Source organism: Homo sapiens, chromosome 9, assembly GCF_000001405.40.
Source record: "Homo sapiens chromosome 9, GRCh38.p14 Primary Assembly".
NCBI lineage: Eukaryota > Metazoa > Chordata > Mammalia > Primates > Hominidae > Homo > Homo sapiens.
In genome coordinates, this window is record NC_000009.12 from 130459980 (window position 1) to 130476531 (window position 16552).

The following is a 16552-nucleotide window of genomic DNA, read 5'->3' on the forward strand; positions in this document are numbered from 1 at the left end:
CGATGTTTTTATAAAGACCCAAGTCATGAGCTCTCAGTCAGCGGACAGCATGCCAAGAGCCTGGTACAGGAATTGACTGTTTACCAACCCCACAGTCAGAAGGCTCGGAAACTCCCCAGTGACGGGGAGCTCACTACCTCGCCTGCCCGGGCTGGTCAGGGTGCTGATGGTGGGAAGTCCTGGCTCACTGTGGGAGGTCCTGGCTCACTGTGGTGCAGGGACACACACAGCTAAGATGATGATGGAGGAGACGCGGTTGATTTGAGGGTGGCCTGGGAGACAGCCACCCACCAGGATGGCACCTGTCATGTCTTTGAAAGTCCAAGTGTTCATTTCTTCACCGGAGCACTGGTTCAGCAAGCTTGCACTGGGTATCTGCTGGGAGTTGGGTGCTTGCTGGCATTGGCACAGTGCTAACTTCTTGGGCTCATTGCGTACCTTCAGAGAGCCCATTTCCTGGCAAGAGAAGAGAAAATGGATGTGTGATGAGGAATGGGAGTGGGGCCAGGGGTCTGTGCCAGGGAACTGCGGGAGCAGCAGGCAGGGGCTGAGGATGAGTCTAGAGGAGTGAATAATGGCATGGAAGAGTGTGAGAGGCAGAGGGAACAGCCTGTGGAAAGGCTTAGAGCCAAGAGGCCCTGAAGGACAGTCTGTCTGGGGCTGTGGAGCAGGAGCTATTGCTGTGGGGGAGGCAATAGGGCCAGGACTGGGCTGAGGCCATGCTGGGAGGTTTGGCTTCATCCTGAGGGCAACTGATTAGTGGGTGGAAGGAGGTCTCAGGTTGGATGGAGGTGGCCAGTGACTACCCCAGCGAGATGCTGGGGAAGAGACAGGGGAGAGCTTCTCACAGACTGCGGCCTTGGTTTTTACTGTCACTCCAGCTGTGGATGATGGGATGGTAGGAAACCAGGCAAGGAGGTTTGGGCGGGCCTGAGCTGTTGGGCAGGACCGTGTGTATGCTGCCATCTGTGCAAAGGTGGTGGCAGAGGAGGAGAACCCAGAGGATCAGGACTGGGCGACACAGCGAGACTCTGTCCCAAACAAAAAAAAAAGCTCCCGACCCATCTGCCTTAATGGAAAGAGCTGGATCGTGAGCTTCCTATCCCAGAAGGCATACAAGCCGAGGGCAGGGGATCAGAATTCTGGGAGGGGTCCTGCCCTCAGGTCTTTCCAACGGTACCATTAAGGTTCAGTAGGGCGGCATTCAGGTCTGGTGGAGTGCATGGGTGGGTGGGTGAGTATGGGTGGGTCGGCTCTGGCTCAGGCAGTTCCCGGGTCCATGCGGAGACCCCCACCCCGGACCAGCCCACATTTAGCCTGCAACAGCCTCCCGCAGCCGTGTGCGCCCCTCCTCCATGTGGCCACCAGAGGGCGCCAGAGGCTTGGGTTTGAGGCCTTGGGGGCCGACAAAGGCGGGAGGAGGTGGCGGCACCACCGGGGTCCTCTGTTCCCCATCCTGGACCTGCAGGGCGTGGTTCTGAGGAGAACGCCCCCCAAGCTAGTGCTATGGCCGCTCGGGACTTGGGGGCGTCCCTGCATTCACACTCAGAAGACCCAACAGGGACGGACTCCGGGGATGCCGGGGAGTAGGTGCTACCTGGCACAGCCACCTCTTTCCTGGGGTTGACAGGCAAGGCGTACTTCTGCGCCTCAGTGTCCCTTTATGACAGTACCCAGGAAACCCCCAACAGCCTCTGGAGACAATTTCCGAGAACTGGGGGTATGAGTGGAGAACCAGGAAGGCTGGGAGCGAGGGGAATCCAAGGCCTTGGAGGTGCTGGTCCAGCCTTCAGGCATTTACCCCCTGAGTAACCACCCAGCACCACCATCCCATGAGTATCCACCCAGCACTGCCCCGGGCGCCATCACGGGGGACGGGCCAGGTGGAGGCTTTCGGGTCTTTGGGCTCAGGGAAGGTGACAGTGAAATGTTGGGGGGACAACGGATTGGCCTGGGATGTGAGGGGGAAGGGCATCCTGTTTGCTGGAACCGCCTGAGCCCAGCCCTGAAGGCAGAGGCGGAGGCAGCCTCCCTTCCCAGCACCCCGTCCAGACAGCACCTGGTGCAGAAATTGAGCCGCACTCTCCCCTCCCATGCCCTGCTGCCAGCCCCACCCCTGCCCACCCAGAGAGCTGCACCGAAGCTGGGGTGGCCCTTGCGGGGCTCCTCTCTCCCCCTAGTTTTGGAAGAGGGGCCTGGAAATATGATTCTGAGACTCTAGCCGGGGAGCGAGAGTTTTGTAAATGGCACCATCTGTATGGGTGCCCCAGGGCAGATGGGAGACCCCAGGCCCCCCAGTCCCAGTGGGACCGTGTTTACATGCATGTTTACACACGTGTGCACAAATATCAGCATGCGGACACTCGTGTGTGAGACACTACATCCTCCTTCTCCCCGGAAAGCTGCCAGGAGCTGCCCTGGTGCTGGGGTCTTGGGGTTCAGAGGGGGAAGGATTAGACTGGCCTCCTTGGCTCTTGCCTGAGACGAGGGCAGAGTTTGAACCAAGGAAGCGTTTGTTTGGCCTCTTCGAGGGTCTCTGGCTCCTGAACAGATGGGTGTCCGCATGGCAGCATCTGGATGGGCAGACAGCAGCCCAGCCGTGCCTGGCTGGTGAGGCACAAGCCGTCTTTGTGTTGGGGAAACATGAAGCTGTGGGGGAAAATAGCTGGGCCATGCAACGTCGGACCATGCCTTACCATCTAAAATGAGGCTGTCTTTTAGTTGCTCCAGGAACGGGGCCGGCTGGGGGTCAGCAGGCAAATGTGGCCGCCCCCACCTCAGTGTCCTCATCCGTAAGATGGGACTAATAGAACCTGCCTCCTGGGGCTGCTCAAAGGATTCAGTGAGTTAATTATGCATGGAGCTCAGCTGGGAAGCCTGAGTGTGAACCGTTAGGATGAGCGAGTTTGCTGTGTGGCCCTGGGCAAGTGGCTGCACCTCTCTGAGCTTCACTTTCCTCACCCATAAAATATGGCTAAAAATCCCCCTGGCCCTGGGGGCCTCTCTGAGTGACAGCACATAGTAGGTGCTCACTAAAGGGGCTGCATGGAGGGTGAGTGAGGCCAGCCCAAGGCCTGTGCCGCACACACAGCTCCCAGCTCTGCAGAGAGGCTGAACCCTGGATTCTGTGCCACCTGACGAGAGTCTGGAAAATAGCATGTAATTCCCACCGCTGCCTGGCTGCGCCCATGCAGTTTTCACAGTAGGCAAAAGGTCCCTCTGTCATTTCCACAGCGCTTAAGTCTCCCTCTGGGCTGCCGAGCCCACGGGGAAGCAGGAGACGTGCGCGGCCATTTTCTCTCTGGGGACAGAGCTGGGCTGGCGGATGCCTGCGCTGACCCCGGCCTCCTCCTCCTCGGCATCAGTGTGGACGGTGGTCCCGGCTATGTCGGGGGTAACGTTCACAGCTCAGTGGGGTGTTGAGGTGTCTCCATTTGCCCACAGAGGATGCAGGCGAGGCAACCTGCCCGAGGGGGTGGCTGTGGTGCTGGGGACCTGGGCTTGGGTCCCGGGCCTGCCCTGGCTGTGTGTCCTTGGACTGGTTCCTTTCCCTTCCTGGGCCTCAGTTTCCCTCTCTGTGCAGAGAAGAGCTGAGGAGCAAAAGGCCCTCAGTGGTCACCTAGTTCCACCTCCTCCCTGACACCAGCCATTGAAGAGATGCGGAAACTGAGGCTCAGAGAGGTGACAGGGTTCCCAAATGTATGGGTATGGGGGAGTCCAAGCACCCTGGTGCCCCAGCCCTGAAGTGAGCTTGATTTGGGGCAGGGCAGGGTCAGCAATGTGGGGGCCTTGAGGAAGAGACTATAGTGCGAGCTCTGGGGCTGCAGGAGCAGGGCCTGGCCCCCCAGGTCTTGCCAGTGGCTGGGCCTCCAGCTCCAGGGGGTCAGATGTGTCCTGCACCCACCCACGTGACATGTGTGCCCTCTCCTATACTCTGCCATGTCCCCAGACGTGCACATCTCCCTCCTGCCACATGCCCACACATACACGACCTACACTGCATGACCTCACATGTGTACACGCTCTGCCCAGCTCTGTCTCCGCCACGGGCTGTCCTTGTCCTCACGTCCTCCCCCAGACTCCAGAACCCCCATCCTGTGGCTCCTGACAGCCCTCTGTTCTGCATTGCAGGGGAACGATCAGGTCCGGTTTGAGCTCAGCTGCTACTCACTGGCCCCCCAGATAAAGGTAGGATGTGGCTCCTCCCCTTAGCAGGGAGCACTAGCATCTGCAGCACCTGATGGGGAGGAGGGCACAGGGTTCTGGGAGATTCCACAGGACAGGCACAGAATCTCCTCCGTGGCAGGGGTGCCCATCGGGTGGACAGCCTGCTGGGGAGGCTCCCTTCGCTGGGGCCAGCTCCAGGGGACACACTTTCTTCCCCGCCATTCATTCTTCCCGGAGAGGCTGTCCAGGTGCTGGGGCACGGGATAGAAAGTCCCTGCCACTCTTCAGCCACATCCCTGGCATCCCAGGTGTGGGCAGGCATGGCTCTGGCACCCCAGGTGCGGGCAGGGATGGCTCTGGCACCCCAGGTGCGGGTGGGGATGGCTCTGAAACGTGGTTGCTGGTGTCTGGGATGCTCAGAGCCCTCCGAGCCCCAGTCAGAGCCCCCAGCTATGCCTGGCTCCTCCCCAGGCCACCTGTGCCTGGTCCCCAGCATCTCTTGAGCCTTTCCTGGGGTGGGAATCACCAGGATCTCAGGGCCTCAACCGCCCTGGCCCGTGGCATGTCACCCAGGCAGGAGGGCACCTGTGGGTATTGCCCAGACTGCTACTACCATCCCCACCCCTCCAGCTTGACCTTGGACCTGGCCTGCGTCCATGCATGAATGATGGACACGTTCCTTCCTTCACTCGCTAGCTCATCCTTCATCCAGTGTCTACTGAGCACCCACTCAGCTCCAGGGGTGCCGAGTGCAGGGCCCAGGGCAGGGCCGAGCAGTGGGAGTTTGAGGCACACTGCCGCTGCAAGCTGCCCAATTTTTCTAGTAGCCATATATATAATATATAAATATTTTTATATAATATGTATTACATATAAATACATATGTTTTATATATATATATATATATATATTTTTTTTTTTTCTTTTTCTGGAGACTCGCTCTGTCACCCAGGCTGGAGTGCAGTGGCACAATCTCACTGCAACCTCTGCCTCCCAAGTTCAAGCAATTCTCCCTGACTCAGCTCCTGAATAACTGGGACTATAGGCATGCGCCACCACACCTGGGGTTTCAGCATTTTGGCCAGGCTGGTCTTGAACTCCTGACCTCGTGATCTGCCCGCCTTGGGCTCCCAAAGTGCTGGGATTACAGGCGTGAGCCACTGCACCCGGCTGTAGTAGCCATATTAAAAAATAGAAAAATGAAACAAGTGACATGATTTTAATAACATGTTTTACCGAAACCGATATATCCAAAATATTATCATTCCTCCTATAATCAATGTAAAAAAATAATTATTAATGTTTACATTCTTTTTTCTTCTGTGTTGAGTCTGCAAGACCCAGAATGTGCTGCATGCAGGCATGTCTCGCTAGCTGGCTGGATTTCAGGTGCTCTGAATGGCCACCCGTGGCTTGTGGCCACCTGTGGGCAGCACAGGCCGGGACTGAGCTCTTTTGAGGCCGCTTTGGGCTCAAGCTCTGGAAGAGTTGCCCCCTCCTAAGCCCCCAAGGGGCTCACAGGAGTTTCCATTTTGTTCTTTCTAAGAGGAATCTCTTTCCCCGTCCCTTTAACCAGCTGGTAGCTCTTGGGATGCGTGGCCTGGAGGTGAGCCGTAATGAGCTCTAATGATCTGTTTTGACCCCAGACACCAGGCAGCTCAGTGGCTGGGACAGTAGCTGCTTGTTGACTTGCTGCCAGCGAGGCCGCAGGACGGGGCCCTCCCTCGGTTCCCACAGCAGCTTGTGGGGCCAGGGTGTCCAGTTTCGAGGTCTTTGTCTGCAGAGGCCAAGCCCAGGCACTGAGATGGGATTGGGGCAGGGGCCAAGCTGCTCCAGGAGCTGGGAGTAGGGCTGTGGTCTTCCCATGGCTGCTCTGAGGGGCTGAGGAGGTGGCGGGCCCCTTCCATTGCCCTGCACCACTGTCAGCTCCACGGCCCAGCAGCCAAATGACATCTCCACCCCCACACACACATGCCCCCGAGTCCTGCTCAGAGGCAGGGGCCTGGTGAGCTCCAGGGCTGAGTCGGGGGCTCTTTTTACCAGCTCAGGCCGAGGGGCTCAAGGGGAATGAGCTTGGTCCCTCAGCCAGGCTCAGAGTCTTCCCCCACTTCTTTCCCTTCCACACCCAGAGAAGTGGGTGGGGGGCAGCCTATGCCTCTCTGGGCCCCCGACCACACGTGGGGCCAGGCCAGCAGCGGCAGCTCTGTGGACTCTCCCTGGGTCACGGCAGTGGCCCTGTGGCTGAAGGTGCTGGCAAGGACCATGAACCCCGTCTAGTTCAAACTCTCAGGTCTCATCTGGGGAGACTGAGGCCCAGGGAACAGGGACCCCCTTCTCACCCCAACACACCACCATTCTGCCATGGAGTGCAGGCTCCGTCCAGCCAGCCCCGGTGAGGGAGTCTGTGTCCTTCCCCTCCTTCATGGGGCTCCCTCTCACCCTCACAACAGCATCCTCTCTGGGGACATGCTGGAGACCCCCATGGGCCCCTCCCAGGAGAGGCCAGCTCTGCAGCTTACAGGCCAGGGGAAGCCCACAGCTCGGCCCTCCCGGCTCTGACCCCTTGTCCTATGTCCAGGTCATTGCTCCCTGGAGGATGCCTGAATTCTACAACCGGTTCAAGGGCCGCAATGACCTGATGGAGTACGCAAAGGTATGGCCGAGTCTCCCCACCACCCCCAACCTTTCCCTATAGCCCCCTTCCCGGGCACGTCCCTGCTGGGGGCTGTCTGAGCCAGTGGCCTAGGCCGGGACTGACCCCATGTGATGGGGGATTGAACTTCCACCCCAGCTGCCTACACACGTGGCCTCTGTCCCCTGGGCTGACCCCACAGAGGTGTGGTCATCTGCCAGCCCGTTGCCAGGGCGGAGCCGCTCTGAGGCCATTTCCCAGTCCCCCGAGCCAGAGGACACAGGGCTCACTCTCTCTCCTGCTCCCTGGGAGGCGGAGACCAGAGCCCTGCTTGCCACCTCCGCAGTGTGTGTGTCTTGGTGTGTGTCACTTGGGGGGATGGCTGGGGGATGTGATGGCCGGCCGGGGGGATGTGATCGGGAGCTGTTCTCCCAATTCCCTGGATACTAATTGCCCCTAGCGCTTTCCCCGGGAACAGGTAGGCGCTCCAAGGGACAGTCGCAGACAAAGCCTTTTATGGCACCAGCCCTTTTTGAAGTACAAGTTGCAATAAAACATATTAGAAGTTTTGCATCAAGATCCTTAGCCGCTCCCCAGGGCACCTTTCTTTTTAGCGACTCGATGGCAGCCCTTGACAAACAGCCTCAATCAATCAGGCCGGGGAAAAGCAACTCAGCGCACACACCAGAAAATTGCTCAGGTTTTTAAATAGCAGTCGCCAAGGCTGGCTGTGAGCTCTCGCTGCAGCCAAGGTGCCGCGTGGTAGGGGAGGCGGCAGGGACGCAGCCCTGCCCCCGCCGCCAGCAACCCATTAAGACCTGGAGTGCTGGGAGGGAAGACCTTCTCCACCATCTGTTGTTTTATTATTAAGAGGGGAGTTTACAAGAGCAAGCCCATATGTTGCCAAACAAATTGTCAAATAGCAGAGCTATTAAGGGAGCCGGGTTGGTGAGGTTTCTCCCCTGGTCTCCTTGATGATATAGAATATGAAGCGTGTTTCATCTTTAAGAATAATGAATTGGAGCCCCCACCCAGCTCTACCCTCACGCCTCGAGTCCTGGATAGAGAGGGGCAGGGCCGACCCATACGTTGCCCTTTCTTTCCGTTAAGTCCCCAGACAAAAGCAGCTTCTGGTTTTTCTAGCATAGATGAGTCTCAGGAGCACACTGCTGTCCTTCCTTCTCAGGTTTTGAGGAGAAGGTGCTGAGCTCAGCTTCCATCCCAAATAACCTTTTGAGCCGGAAAAGTTTGCCAGGGAAAGATGAGCATGGCCCCCTCGGCCACCTACCCTCTCCTGGAGATGGGTTTCATCAGAAATGACTGTGGGGAATCTGAGCACGTTCTAGAAGGAGGCAGAGGCAGTGTTTCTGCACCCAGGAAATGTCAGAATGACTGAGCAGTGATGAGGCCTCCTCCAAAATTCTGAGCCAGGCAGGATCTGAGATGGATGACACAAAAATCAATGGGGCTTTCAAAAATCTCTGCTTTCAAGACGCTTCGGTAGCCAAGGCAAAAAGGCGCCAGAGGACTCATAAAAAACATGCATTTGCTTCGCTGGCCATCCTCTCCCAACCCATCGTCCAACGGAAAAACACTCAGAACCACCCCATCCTTGTCACTGTCACCATAATTTAAAAAAAAATTTTTTTTAGAGACAGTGTCTCACTCTGTCACCCAGGTTGGAGTGCAGTGGCACAATCCTAGCTCATTGCAGCCTCAACCTCCTGGGCTCATCTGACCCTCCTACCTCAGCCTCCTGAGTAGCTGGAACTACAAACGTGCCCTAGTACATCTGGCTAATTTTTGTTTTTCATATATTTATTTATTTATTTTTTTACAGACAGGGTCTCACCATGTTGCCCAGGCTGGTCTTGAACTCCTGAACTCAAGTAATCCACCCTCCTTGGCCTCCCCAAAGTATTGGGATTGCAGGTGTGAGCCACCACACCCAGCTTTGGCTAATTTTTAAATTTTTTTTTGTAGAGACAGGGTCTTGCTATACTGCCCAGCCTGGCTATAATTATTATTTTTAAAGCCAGACTACAAGGTGGGAGCTAGAAACAGGATGGTCTCACGTTGTCTACATGTTGGAGATCGTTTTGTTTTTTCTCCTCAATTACAATGAGAGTGTGAGGGGAGGCACCTCGGGACCGAGAGAGGCTGGGAAACACAAATCTCTTTGGTCTTGGGAGGGTCATTGTCATTGGCCCCTGTTGCTTTCCTCCCCGCCCTTTAGCCTCTCCTTGCTCCTGGACGGAGGTCCGCTGAGAAGGGAGGCAAAGGTTCTTTCACGCCACCGCCCAAAAACAGAGGCTCCACGGAGCCTGGCCGGCTGCTCTTCTTAGCACCCAGCTGCTGAGCTGAGTGAGGAGCGAGGACGGAGCCCAGCAGGCCACCAGGACATCTCTGCTGGAGAGTCCAGTCTTGCCTTGCACAGGGTCCGGGTACCCATGCCTGGCCAAGGGCACAGGGCGAGTGTGTGGGCTGAAGAGTCTTCAAATTCTAGAGTAGATCGTGGGCTGTGTTTTGTTTTTTTAAATTTCAGTTTTCACGTGTAATATGGTAACTGTTGATGAGATAATCTACACAAACTAAGGCTCTTAGGGGCCCTTAGTGATTTTTTCTTTCTCTTCTTTTTTTTTTCTTTTTTGAGATAGAGTCTCACTCTGTCACCCAAGCTGGGGTGCAATGGCACTATCTCAGCTCACTGCAGCCTCTGCCTCCCAAGTTCAAGTGATGCTCCTACCTCAGTCTCCCAAGTAGCTGGGACTACAGGCGCCTGCCACCATGCCAGGCTAATTTTTGTTATCTTTAGTAGAGATAAGGTTTTACCATGTTGGCCAGACTGGTCTTGAACTCCTGACCTCAAGTGAGCCACTGCACCTGGCCTTGTAGGCTGTTTTAAAATGAGTCTCCTGGCTTTCTAGAAAACCCCGAAACCAGAGCATTTAGCCTCATTTTAATGTTAAGGTGGTGATGGGGAAACAGCTGCTCCCTGCAGGAGGCCTCTAGAATCTCACCATCTTGGGAATGAGCCTGAGTGGGGTCGATCCCATCAGGAGAGAGATGGGAGGGTGACCCGGTGGGGGCTGCCTGTGGTTCCCACAGGGATCCAGTGGGGCTGAGGGGCTGAAGGGGCTCAGAGGCAGAGCATCCAGTCTCGCTGGCTCTGAGGGGCTGGGTGGGGCCCCTTCAGTGCACCCTGTGCCCTATAAGCTTGGGGCCAGGAGAGCAGTGCCAGGTGTCCGAGTGCAGGAGGAGGCTGGAGTGCACGAGCTGGATTCCAGTCGGGCGTCATCAAGGGTGGTGCGGGTCCCCAGGGCGACAAGCCTCATCTTCTTCCTCCTCTTAAGGCTGAGTCAGGTGGGCCTTCCATGCGTGACCTGCAGCCCTCTTAGCCTGGGCCTCCTGGGCAGAGGTGGGTGTCCTCCTGTAACAACAGACTGGGCCATTTAGGAAGCGAAACAGAGCCAGAGCCGAGTGCCTTGGAGACGGGATCTGCTGGGTGTTCCCCTTCTAGGGTCTGCAGAGTGATGTGTGTGGCTGTTGCGCCAGGCCCAGGGAGGGGTGCCCCCAGAAGGTGTGGGCCATGAGCTAAAAGCTCTCCCTGCATCCTACCTGTCCTGGGGTCCACAGGAAGCACTGCCTGGGCTCTGGTGCCAGGTGCCCCGGTCCACAGTGCGAGCGGGTTCACACAAGCCCCAGCTCGTAGGGTGGTGGCGGGGCTGGTTGGCTGGTGCCGGGAGACCTGGCTGGGCATGGCACCTGCGTGCTTGCTCAGTGCTTCAGGGGTCCTTGAGATGTAGACTCAAAGTCTTCTGGAAGGAACCTCCAAGGTCAGCATTGCAGACACACGGTCCTGCAGTTTCTCTGGGGCATGTCCAGCAATAGGGTCCCCCCAGGGAGGTGACCGTGACCAACACTAGGAGGTAGCCAGGGTCTTGTCTGAATGGGGGCCAGAGTTTGGGGCTCTCTGAAAAAGCAGGGCCCCTGGGACGGACCTCACGCGTCCTTCCAGCCGCCTTACCTCCACCTGTGCTGTCTCTTTCCTGCAGCAACACGGGATTCCCATCCCGGTCACTCCCAAGAACCCGTGGAGCATGGATGAGAACCTCATGCACATCAGGTAAATCCCACCCTCCACCCATCCTTGGTCCTCCCGGGCTCATTCCAAAGGACGGCCACGCGCTGCCCCAGGACGTCCTGGTGACCCCCACACCAGTGGTCCCTGCCCTCGGGGAGCTGAGAGGCCTCAGGCAGGACAGAGGTCGAAGCGCCCGGCTCATGCACTGCCCTCATTGCAGTTCTGCTGAGTGTTGTTGGGGAGATAGATCATGGGGACCCGGCCTCATCAGGAGTATCAAGGAGGGCTTCTTAGAGGAGGTGGCATTCAAGGATGGAGAAGAGGCCCAGATGTGGCACAGGGGAAGAGTGTTTAAGGCAGAGGCAGAGGCCCCCCCAACCACGTGCAGAGCCCCGGGGCAGTCCCCAGAAGACAGGTAAAGGCCCCAGCTCTTTCTTACAACCTGCAGCTCCACGGGTGACTATGGTGGGCCCAGAATGTTTCAGGCAGGTTGGCAGCAGATGCTCTGGCAGAGAGTAAAAGGCAGACCAGGCTCATGGGCACAATGGGGTGTGTGTGTTGGGGGATGGGGACATGCCATGTCCCTCCCCAGCTGACCCTGTCTTTCCTTTCCCCTCCGCAGCTACGAGGCTGGAATCCTGGAGAACCCCAAGGTAATCCCCCAAACCCCATCTCCTCCCAGCTGGCCACCTTTGGTGGTAGCAGCTCCATGCCGATGCTGTCTGATGTATTTATAGCCTAATTTGAAATTTCACGGGGGCCAGCCGTGGGGCTGGGGCCGAGCCCTGCCTGTGTTCCCCGACCCCCGCACTGGCCCCCCTCTGCCCACCGTCTCCTCGCTGCATTTGAAGACCTCCCCCCGCCCTTCCTCTTCTAATTGCCTCTGGGATGAACAGGGGAAGGAAATATCTCAGGGCAGCATAGAGAGAGAGTGTGATTGTGAGACAATAAAGAAGTAATTAGGCAGATGAGACACTTGGGGGAGGGCCCAGCCTGTGCCCACCAGCTCCCAGGCTGTGCTGCTGGAGTTTTGGTTGTGGGGGGTGGGGGGAGGCATGGCTGAGAGCCCTAGGCCCCATTTGTCTGGATCCGTGTTGCACACCCGCCACCACCGGCCACCCTGATCCGGTCCCAAGCTTCCCGGGCGGGCTGGACTGGGCCCTCAGCTCTGTTTGAAGTTTCGGGTTTCTCTCCCGGGGGTAGGGGGCTTCTTTGTGTCTACCCCTGCCCACTGTGGGAGGTGGGGGAGGCAGGGCCAAATCTATCATGGGAAGAGAAAAATCTCTTTGTCCCTGAGGGAATGTGTCTTAGTTCCCGGGCCCAGCCCCACACCCCGGGGAGGCTGGTTTGGAGGCGGGAAAAGTGTGCTTTTTGAGGGGATGCAGCTGGGCCTGGGGGAATCAAGAAGACCAGCTGGAGGGGAGGGTGCCCGGGGAGGTTTGGTGAAATTGGGGAGCGCCAGAGCCCCGCCCAGGATCCCCCAGGGCCCGGGCGTCTGTCACTCTCACGCCCGCGTGCCGCCCCCTGGTCGGTGTTGGCTGTAATATCACATGGCAGCCACCATGTCTGGGGAGCGGGCCGGGGGTGGCATTGTCCTGGCTCAGTTCCTAGGACACTGGCTGGGAGCATCCTCACTTTATGGTTGAGGAAACTGAGGCCCGGGCACCGGCTGCTCAGGGCGAGGGAACGGGCCCTGGGGCTGGTGCCCTCCAGCTCTGTGGCTCCCCTACTGCCCACGGCCCCTCCCTGTCCAAACCTGTCACTCAGGAGAGCTGCCACCCTTGCCCCCTGGGGGCTGATGGCCCCTGTGTGTGGCTGCTGCCTGCTGGTCACAGGTTTTTCTAGTTCATGCTCTGCTGACCCCACAACACTCAGGCCAGCCACCCTAATTAGCCAGTCAGTCAGCTCCAAGGGAGGCAGGGAGGCCGAGCCTGCAGGGTGGCTTCCAGGCAGGGCATCCTCTCAGGCCCGTGGGCCCCAAGCATGCTGGGCAACCACTCCCGGCCATTCTCCAAGCAGCCTATGGCCTCTGCAAGCAGCCTATGGGGGCAGAGAGGAGGCCCCCCCAGAATAGAGGACCTCAGGATTGAGAAAGCAGAGCAAGGCCAGAGGGAAATCACCCCCTCGGACCGTGCAGGAGGGCATCCGGGGCCTGGAGCAGGTTACTGAGCTACGGTGGGCAGGTCCTGCGCCCTCCCAGGCCTCCTGTCTCATGAGGGCATTGGGTGGAGAAGTCAGTACTAAAGAGAATCTGGATTAAGGATCCTGCTACCTCACCCACACTTGGGTCCCAGAGACAGGAAACCCGAGTCTAAATCCCAACTTTTCTTCTTATTGCTGTGCAACCTCGAGCAAGTTACCCAACCTCTCTGAGCCTCCAGTACTCCTTGCCCAAAGTGGGAAAACACAGCACCTCCCTCCTAGGGCATCTAAAGCGCTTGGCCTGTCTCAGGGCAAGCCCTCAGTCATGCAGCTGGGGGTCCCATGCTACCTCTTCATGGGAGGAAGGGTCCAAGGTCCTCTCAGGGACCCCTCTCAAGAAAGGCTGGGCTGGGCTAAGCTGGGTGTGAGTCAGGGGAAACATCGTTCCTGCTGAGAGGCCCGGGGCACCCAGAGTCCCACCCAGGCACCCAGAGTCCCACCCAGGCACCCAGAGTCCAGTCACTCTGGAAAGAAGTTTGCCCCAGCCATGCAGACTCCCCAAGGGCTTTGTGCTGAGGGTGGGGCTCAACGTCAGGACGCACCCTTGCATCCCTGGACCTGGCAGCCCTGTCCCCCTCGGGATGAGCTCAGGGGAACAGAGCCTGGGGAACCCGTGCCCCTCCCCCTCTCCAAAAGAAGCCAGGAGACCTGCGGAAGGGAGGGCTTGAAGGCAGATGGCTGAGCCATTTTCTGCCTCCGTGAGGGCTGATTGAAGGGCAATGAGGCAGCTAATGCGAAGAAAGATAGAAATTTACTTGCTTTAACTTCATACGGTCCACAGTGAAAGAGTTCATTCAGTCGCCGGCCCGCCATAGCTGATGGATGAATAAACCATTTGCGGCATCGATCATGCCTCTACATCATGGTTTAGTTCATGGGCCATTTGCTTCCAATTTCTCCTTCTCGGGGCCTGTTTCATGCTTTCTTTCGCCCTCTCCCCCTAGCCCCCACCCCGACTCTCTCTCTCTCTTTTTCTTCACTCTCTTCCCTCCCCCGCACCCCCCCCCCCCCACAGATGACATTGGAAGTGAGCCCTCCCGCTGGGAGGGATAAATAGATGGCATTGATACTTGGCAACAAACTATTTGTCATTAGAACTGGGCTTTTAGGAAGGAGAGTAAAAAGAAGGCAGGCGCTCGAGCCACCGCGGAATGCAAAGCAAATGTCATTTTATTTCTATTTAGTTATTTTATTTAATCGGCGCTGTCAGGTGCCTGCCCGACAGCTGCCTCTGACTTCCGCTGCGGTCTGCAGAAACTCGTCCTCCAGTCTTCCCATCCCCTCTCCTTCCAAATGCACACACTGTCAGCCTCCACTTCGGTCTGGGGCTCCCTCAGGAAGTGTGGCGGGAGAGAAAGTGACAAGCAACGCATTGAAAACAGTTGACAGTCGGGCCCAGCGCAGGTGGAGGTGGGAGAGAGCTGGGCTTGGGTGGGAGTGGGGCCCTCGTACCGGCACCCTGGTTGGAGGCTTGGGGGAGTCCCAGGCAGCTGGAGATGGGGCTGTGGAGTTGTGTGGTCACCCCAAGATCCAGTCCAGTTCACTTTACCTTTTTGCTGAGGATGAGCCTTGGGACCCGTCTGTGCCCAGGGAATGCTGCAGTTGGCAGGGTGGGCCAGCCCTGATGCCTACCTGTGGCTGTGATGCTGGCTGGCTCTGGCCACAGGCCTCACCCTGTTTCTCAGCCCAGGTTACTACAGCAGCTGGGAACCAGCATAAGGTGGCGGAAAGAGTCCCTGTGTTTAGCTTCCAAAGCATGGTTTGGAGAAGCCACCTCTCAGCCTTGGCTTTCCCTGTGGTCCATAGAGGCATCAGGCTGGGGGTCCCTCAGGGCCCCTCCTACCTCCTGGAGTCTGTCTTCAGGGAAGGTTCTGGGTTCTTGTTCCTGCCCCACAAATGGGCACTGATGCAGGGATACAGCTGGCCCTGAGTCACATCGTACCTTGGAGGTGGGGGTGGAGGATCCACCACAGTCCCTGTCTTAGAAGGATCAATTGTCCTGGTTTGCCCAGGACTAAGAGGTTTCTTGGGACAAAGGACTTTCAGTGCTAAAACCAGGAGAAATCAGGGCACTTGGTCACTCTAACACAGAGCCACAGGCAAATGACCACAGGTGAGCTTCCAAGGCACTTATGTAGCCCCATCCCATGCAGAATGAGGAGGAGGCTGGGCCGAGCATGTACCCCCAGAGTGAATTTCAGCTGCCCTTTCCACCTGCAGAGCATGTTCCCGTTTGTACCAGGCCTTCCCTGACATTTTCCTGTGTGTTTTCATGTCCAATTAAAAAATATATATATACTACTTAAATTGTAAGATGGCCAAGGGCAGGTATCATTTTCCCCATTTTACAGATGAGGAAACTGAGGCTGGAGGAAGTGAAGCTTCCCCAAGGCCCCCCAGCCTGAGCTCTTGATCCTGGCACGGGGTAATGCCCATCACTCTAAAATACAATGTGTATTTGGCGAGGACCTCGCGGGGCTCCTGTCCTGAGTGCCAGGGAACAAGTCCCACGTGGTCTCTGCCTGCACAGAACTCACAGTTGTAGCTCCAGTCCCTCCCGCTCAGCCTCAATTTCTTCATCTGTTGATGGGGTAAGAGCGCTTGACCTTCTTACCAAATGGGGCTGCTGAGAACTCAGACTGCAGATGGGAAGCAATACGTGAATGTGTGCAAGGTGTTTTTTTTTTTTTTTTTTTTGGTGGGGGGGTGGGGGACGGAATCTTGCTCTCTCACCCAGGCTGGAGTGCAGTGGTGCAATCTCGGCTCACTGCAACCTCCGCCTCCCAGGTTCAAGCAATTCTCCTGCCTCAGCCTCCTGAGTAGCTGGGACTACAGGCGCATGCCGCCATACCCGGATAATTTCTTTTGTATTTTAGTAGAGATGGGGTTTCACCGCGTTGCCCAGGCTGGTGTCGAACTCCTGAGCTCAGGCAGTCCACCCACCTCAGCCTCCCAAAGTGCTAGGATTACAGGTGTGAGCCACTGTGCCCAGCCGTCTGCAAGGTTTTTAAAGCAAAGATGAGACAGCAGTTCCTGGATGTCAGCAGGTGAACAAGGACCCCAGGCACAGGATGCCCACAGGAGGGACCTGAGCAGTCAGGCCCAAGAGGCCCCAGTCCCCACAGTGGCAAATGTCCAAGCCACGGCCTGGGGGAGCTGGGGCCTCCGAAGGTGGGAGGGAATTTCGAGAGTTTCAGGCAACACGCAGCCCCTCCACCACTGCATCAGACGAGAGGCCCATTTTCCAACACGCCCAAGAAAAAATATACATAAAGGTTGATGTGTTTTCAAATGGGTTTTTGCTTTGCTCTTCTCTTTTCTCCCTGTGAGTATTAACCTTGGGGACCCTGGGGACGGCTCGGCTTGCCAGAGCACCTGCTGGGGTCACAGGCAGTCATTAGCTTTGCGGTCAGTGCAGAATAAACCCCAATCCCGAGCCGGCGAGAGCGTGCGTGCCGCTCCTGGGA

General features: G+C 57.3%; 1 protein-coding gene across 2 annotated transcripts in view, besides 5 other annotated features; it reads left to right on the plus strand.

Annotated features, from left to right (window-relative positions):
• Positions 1-16552, plus strand: part of ASS1 (argininosuccinate synthase 1) — a 56568-nt gene that overhangs the window by 15273 nt on the left and 24743 nt on the right. For both annotated transcript variants that reach the window (NM_000050.4, NM_054012.4), the window contains 4 exons: positions 4132-4188; positions 6746-6820; positions 10855-10925; positions 11506-11536. In NM_000050.4, the coding sequence (NP_000041.2) occupies positions 4132-4188; positions 6746-6820; positions 10855-10925; positions 11506-11536 (234 nt within the window). The remainder of the gene's footprint in view (positions 1-4131; positions 4189-6745; positions 6821-10854; positions 10926-11505; positions 11537-16552) is intronic.
• Positions 1414-1503: an enhancer, noted in NCBI's record as "active region_29153". NCBI's record gives its function as "activates an Ori minimal core promoter by ATAC-STARR-seq in GM12878 lymphoblastoid cells {active_cell/tissue: GM12878}" and the evidence as "EXISTENCE:reporter gene assay evidence [ECO:0000049][PMID:35858748]".
• Positions 1584-1633: an enhancer, noted in NCBI's record as "active region_29154". NCBI's record gives its function as "activates an Ori minimal core promoter by ATAC-STARR-seq in GM12878 lymphoblastoid cells {active_cell/tissue: GM12878}" and the evidence as "EXISTENCE:reporter gene assay evidence [ECO:0000049][PMID:35858748]".
• Positions 6804-7432: an enhancer, noted in NCBI's record as "H3K4me1 hESC enhancer chr9:133342170-133342798 (GRCh37/hg19 assembly coordinates)". NCBI's record gives its function as "activates a minimal SCP1, AML or CMV promoter by ChIP-STARR-seq in primed H9 embryonic stem cells {active_cell/tissue: H9 hESC(primed)}" and the evidence as "EXISTENCE:reporter gene assay evidence [ECO:0000049][PMID:30033119]".
• Positions 11103-11840: an enhancer, noted in NCBI's record as "H3K4me1 hESC enhancer chr9:133346469-133347206 (GRCh37/hg19 assembly coordinates)". NCBI's record gives its function as "activates a minimal SCP1, AML or CMV promoter by ChIP-STARR-seq in naive H9 embryonic stem cells {active_cell/tissue: H9 hESC(naive)}" and the evidence as "EXISTENCE:reporter gene assay evidence [ECO:0000049][PMID:30033119]".
• Positions 11841-12577: an enhancer, noted in NCBI's record as "H3K4me1 hESC enhancer chr9:133347207-133347943 (GRCh37/hg19 assembly coordinates)". NCBI's record gives its function as "activates a minimal SCP1, AML or CMV promoter by ChIP-STARR-seq in primed H9 embryonic stem cells {active_cell/tissue: H9 hESC(primed)}" and the evidence as "EXISTENCE:reporter gene assay evidence [ECO:0000049][PMID:30033119]".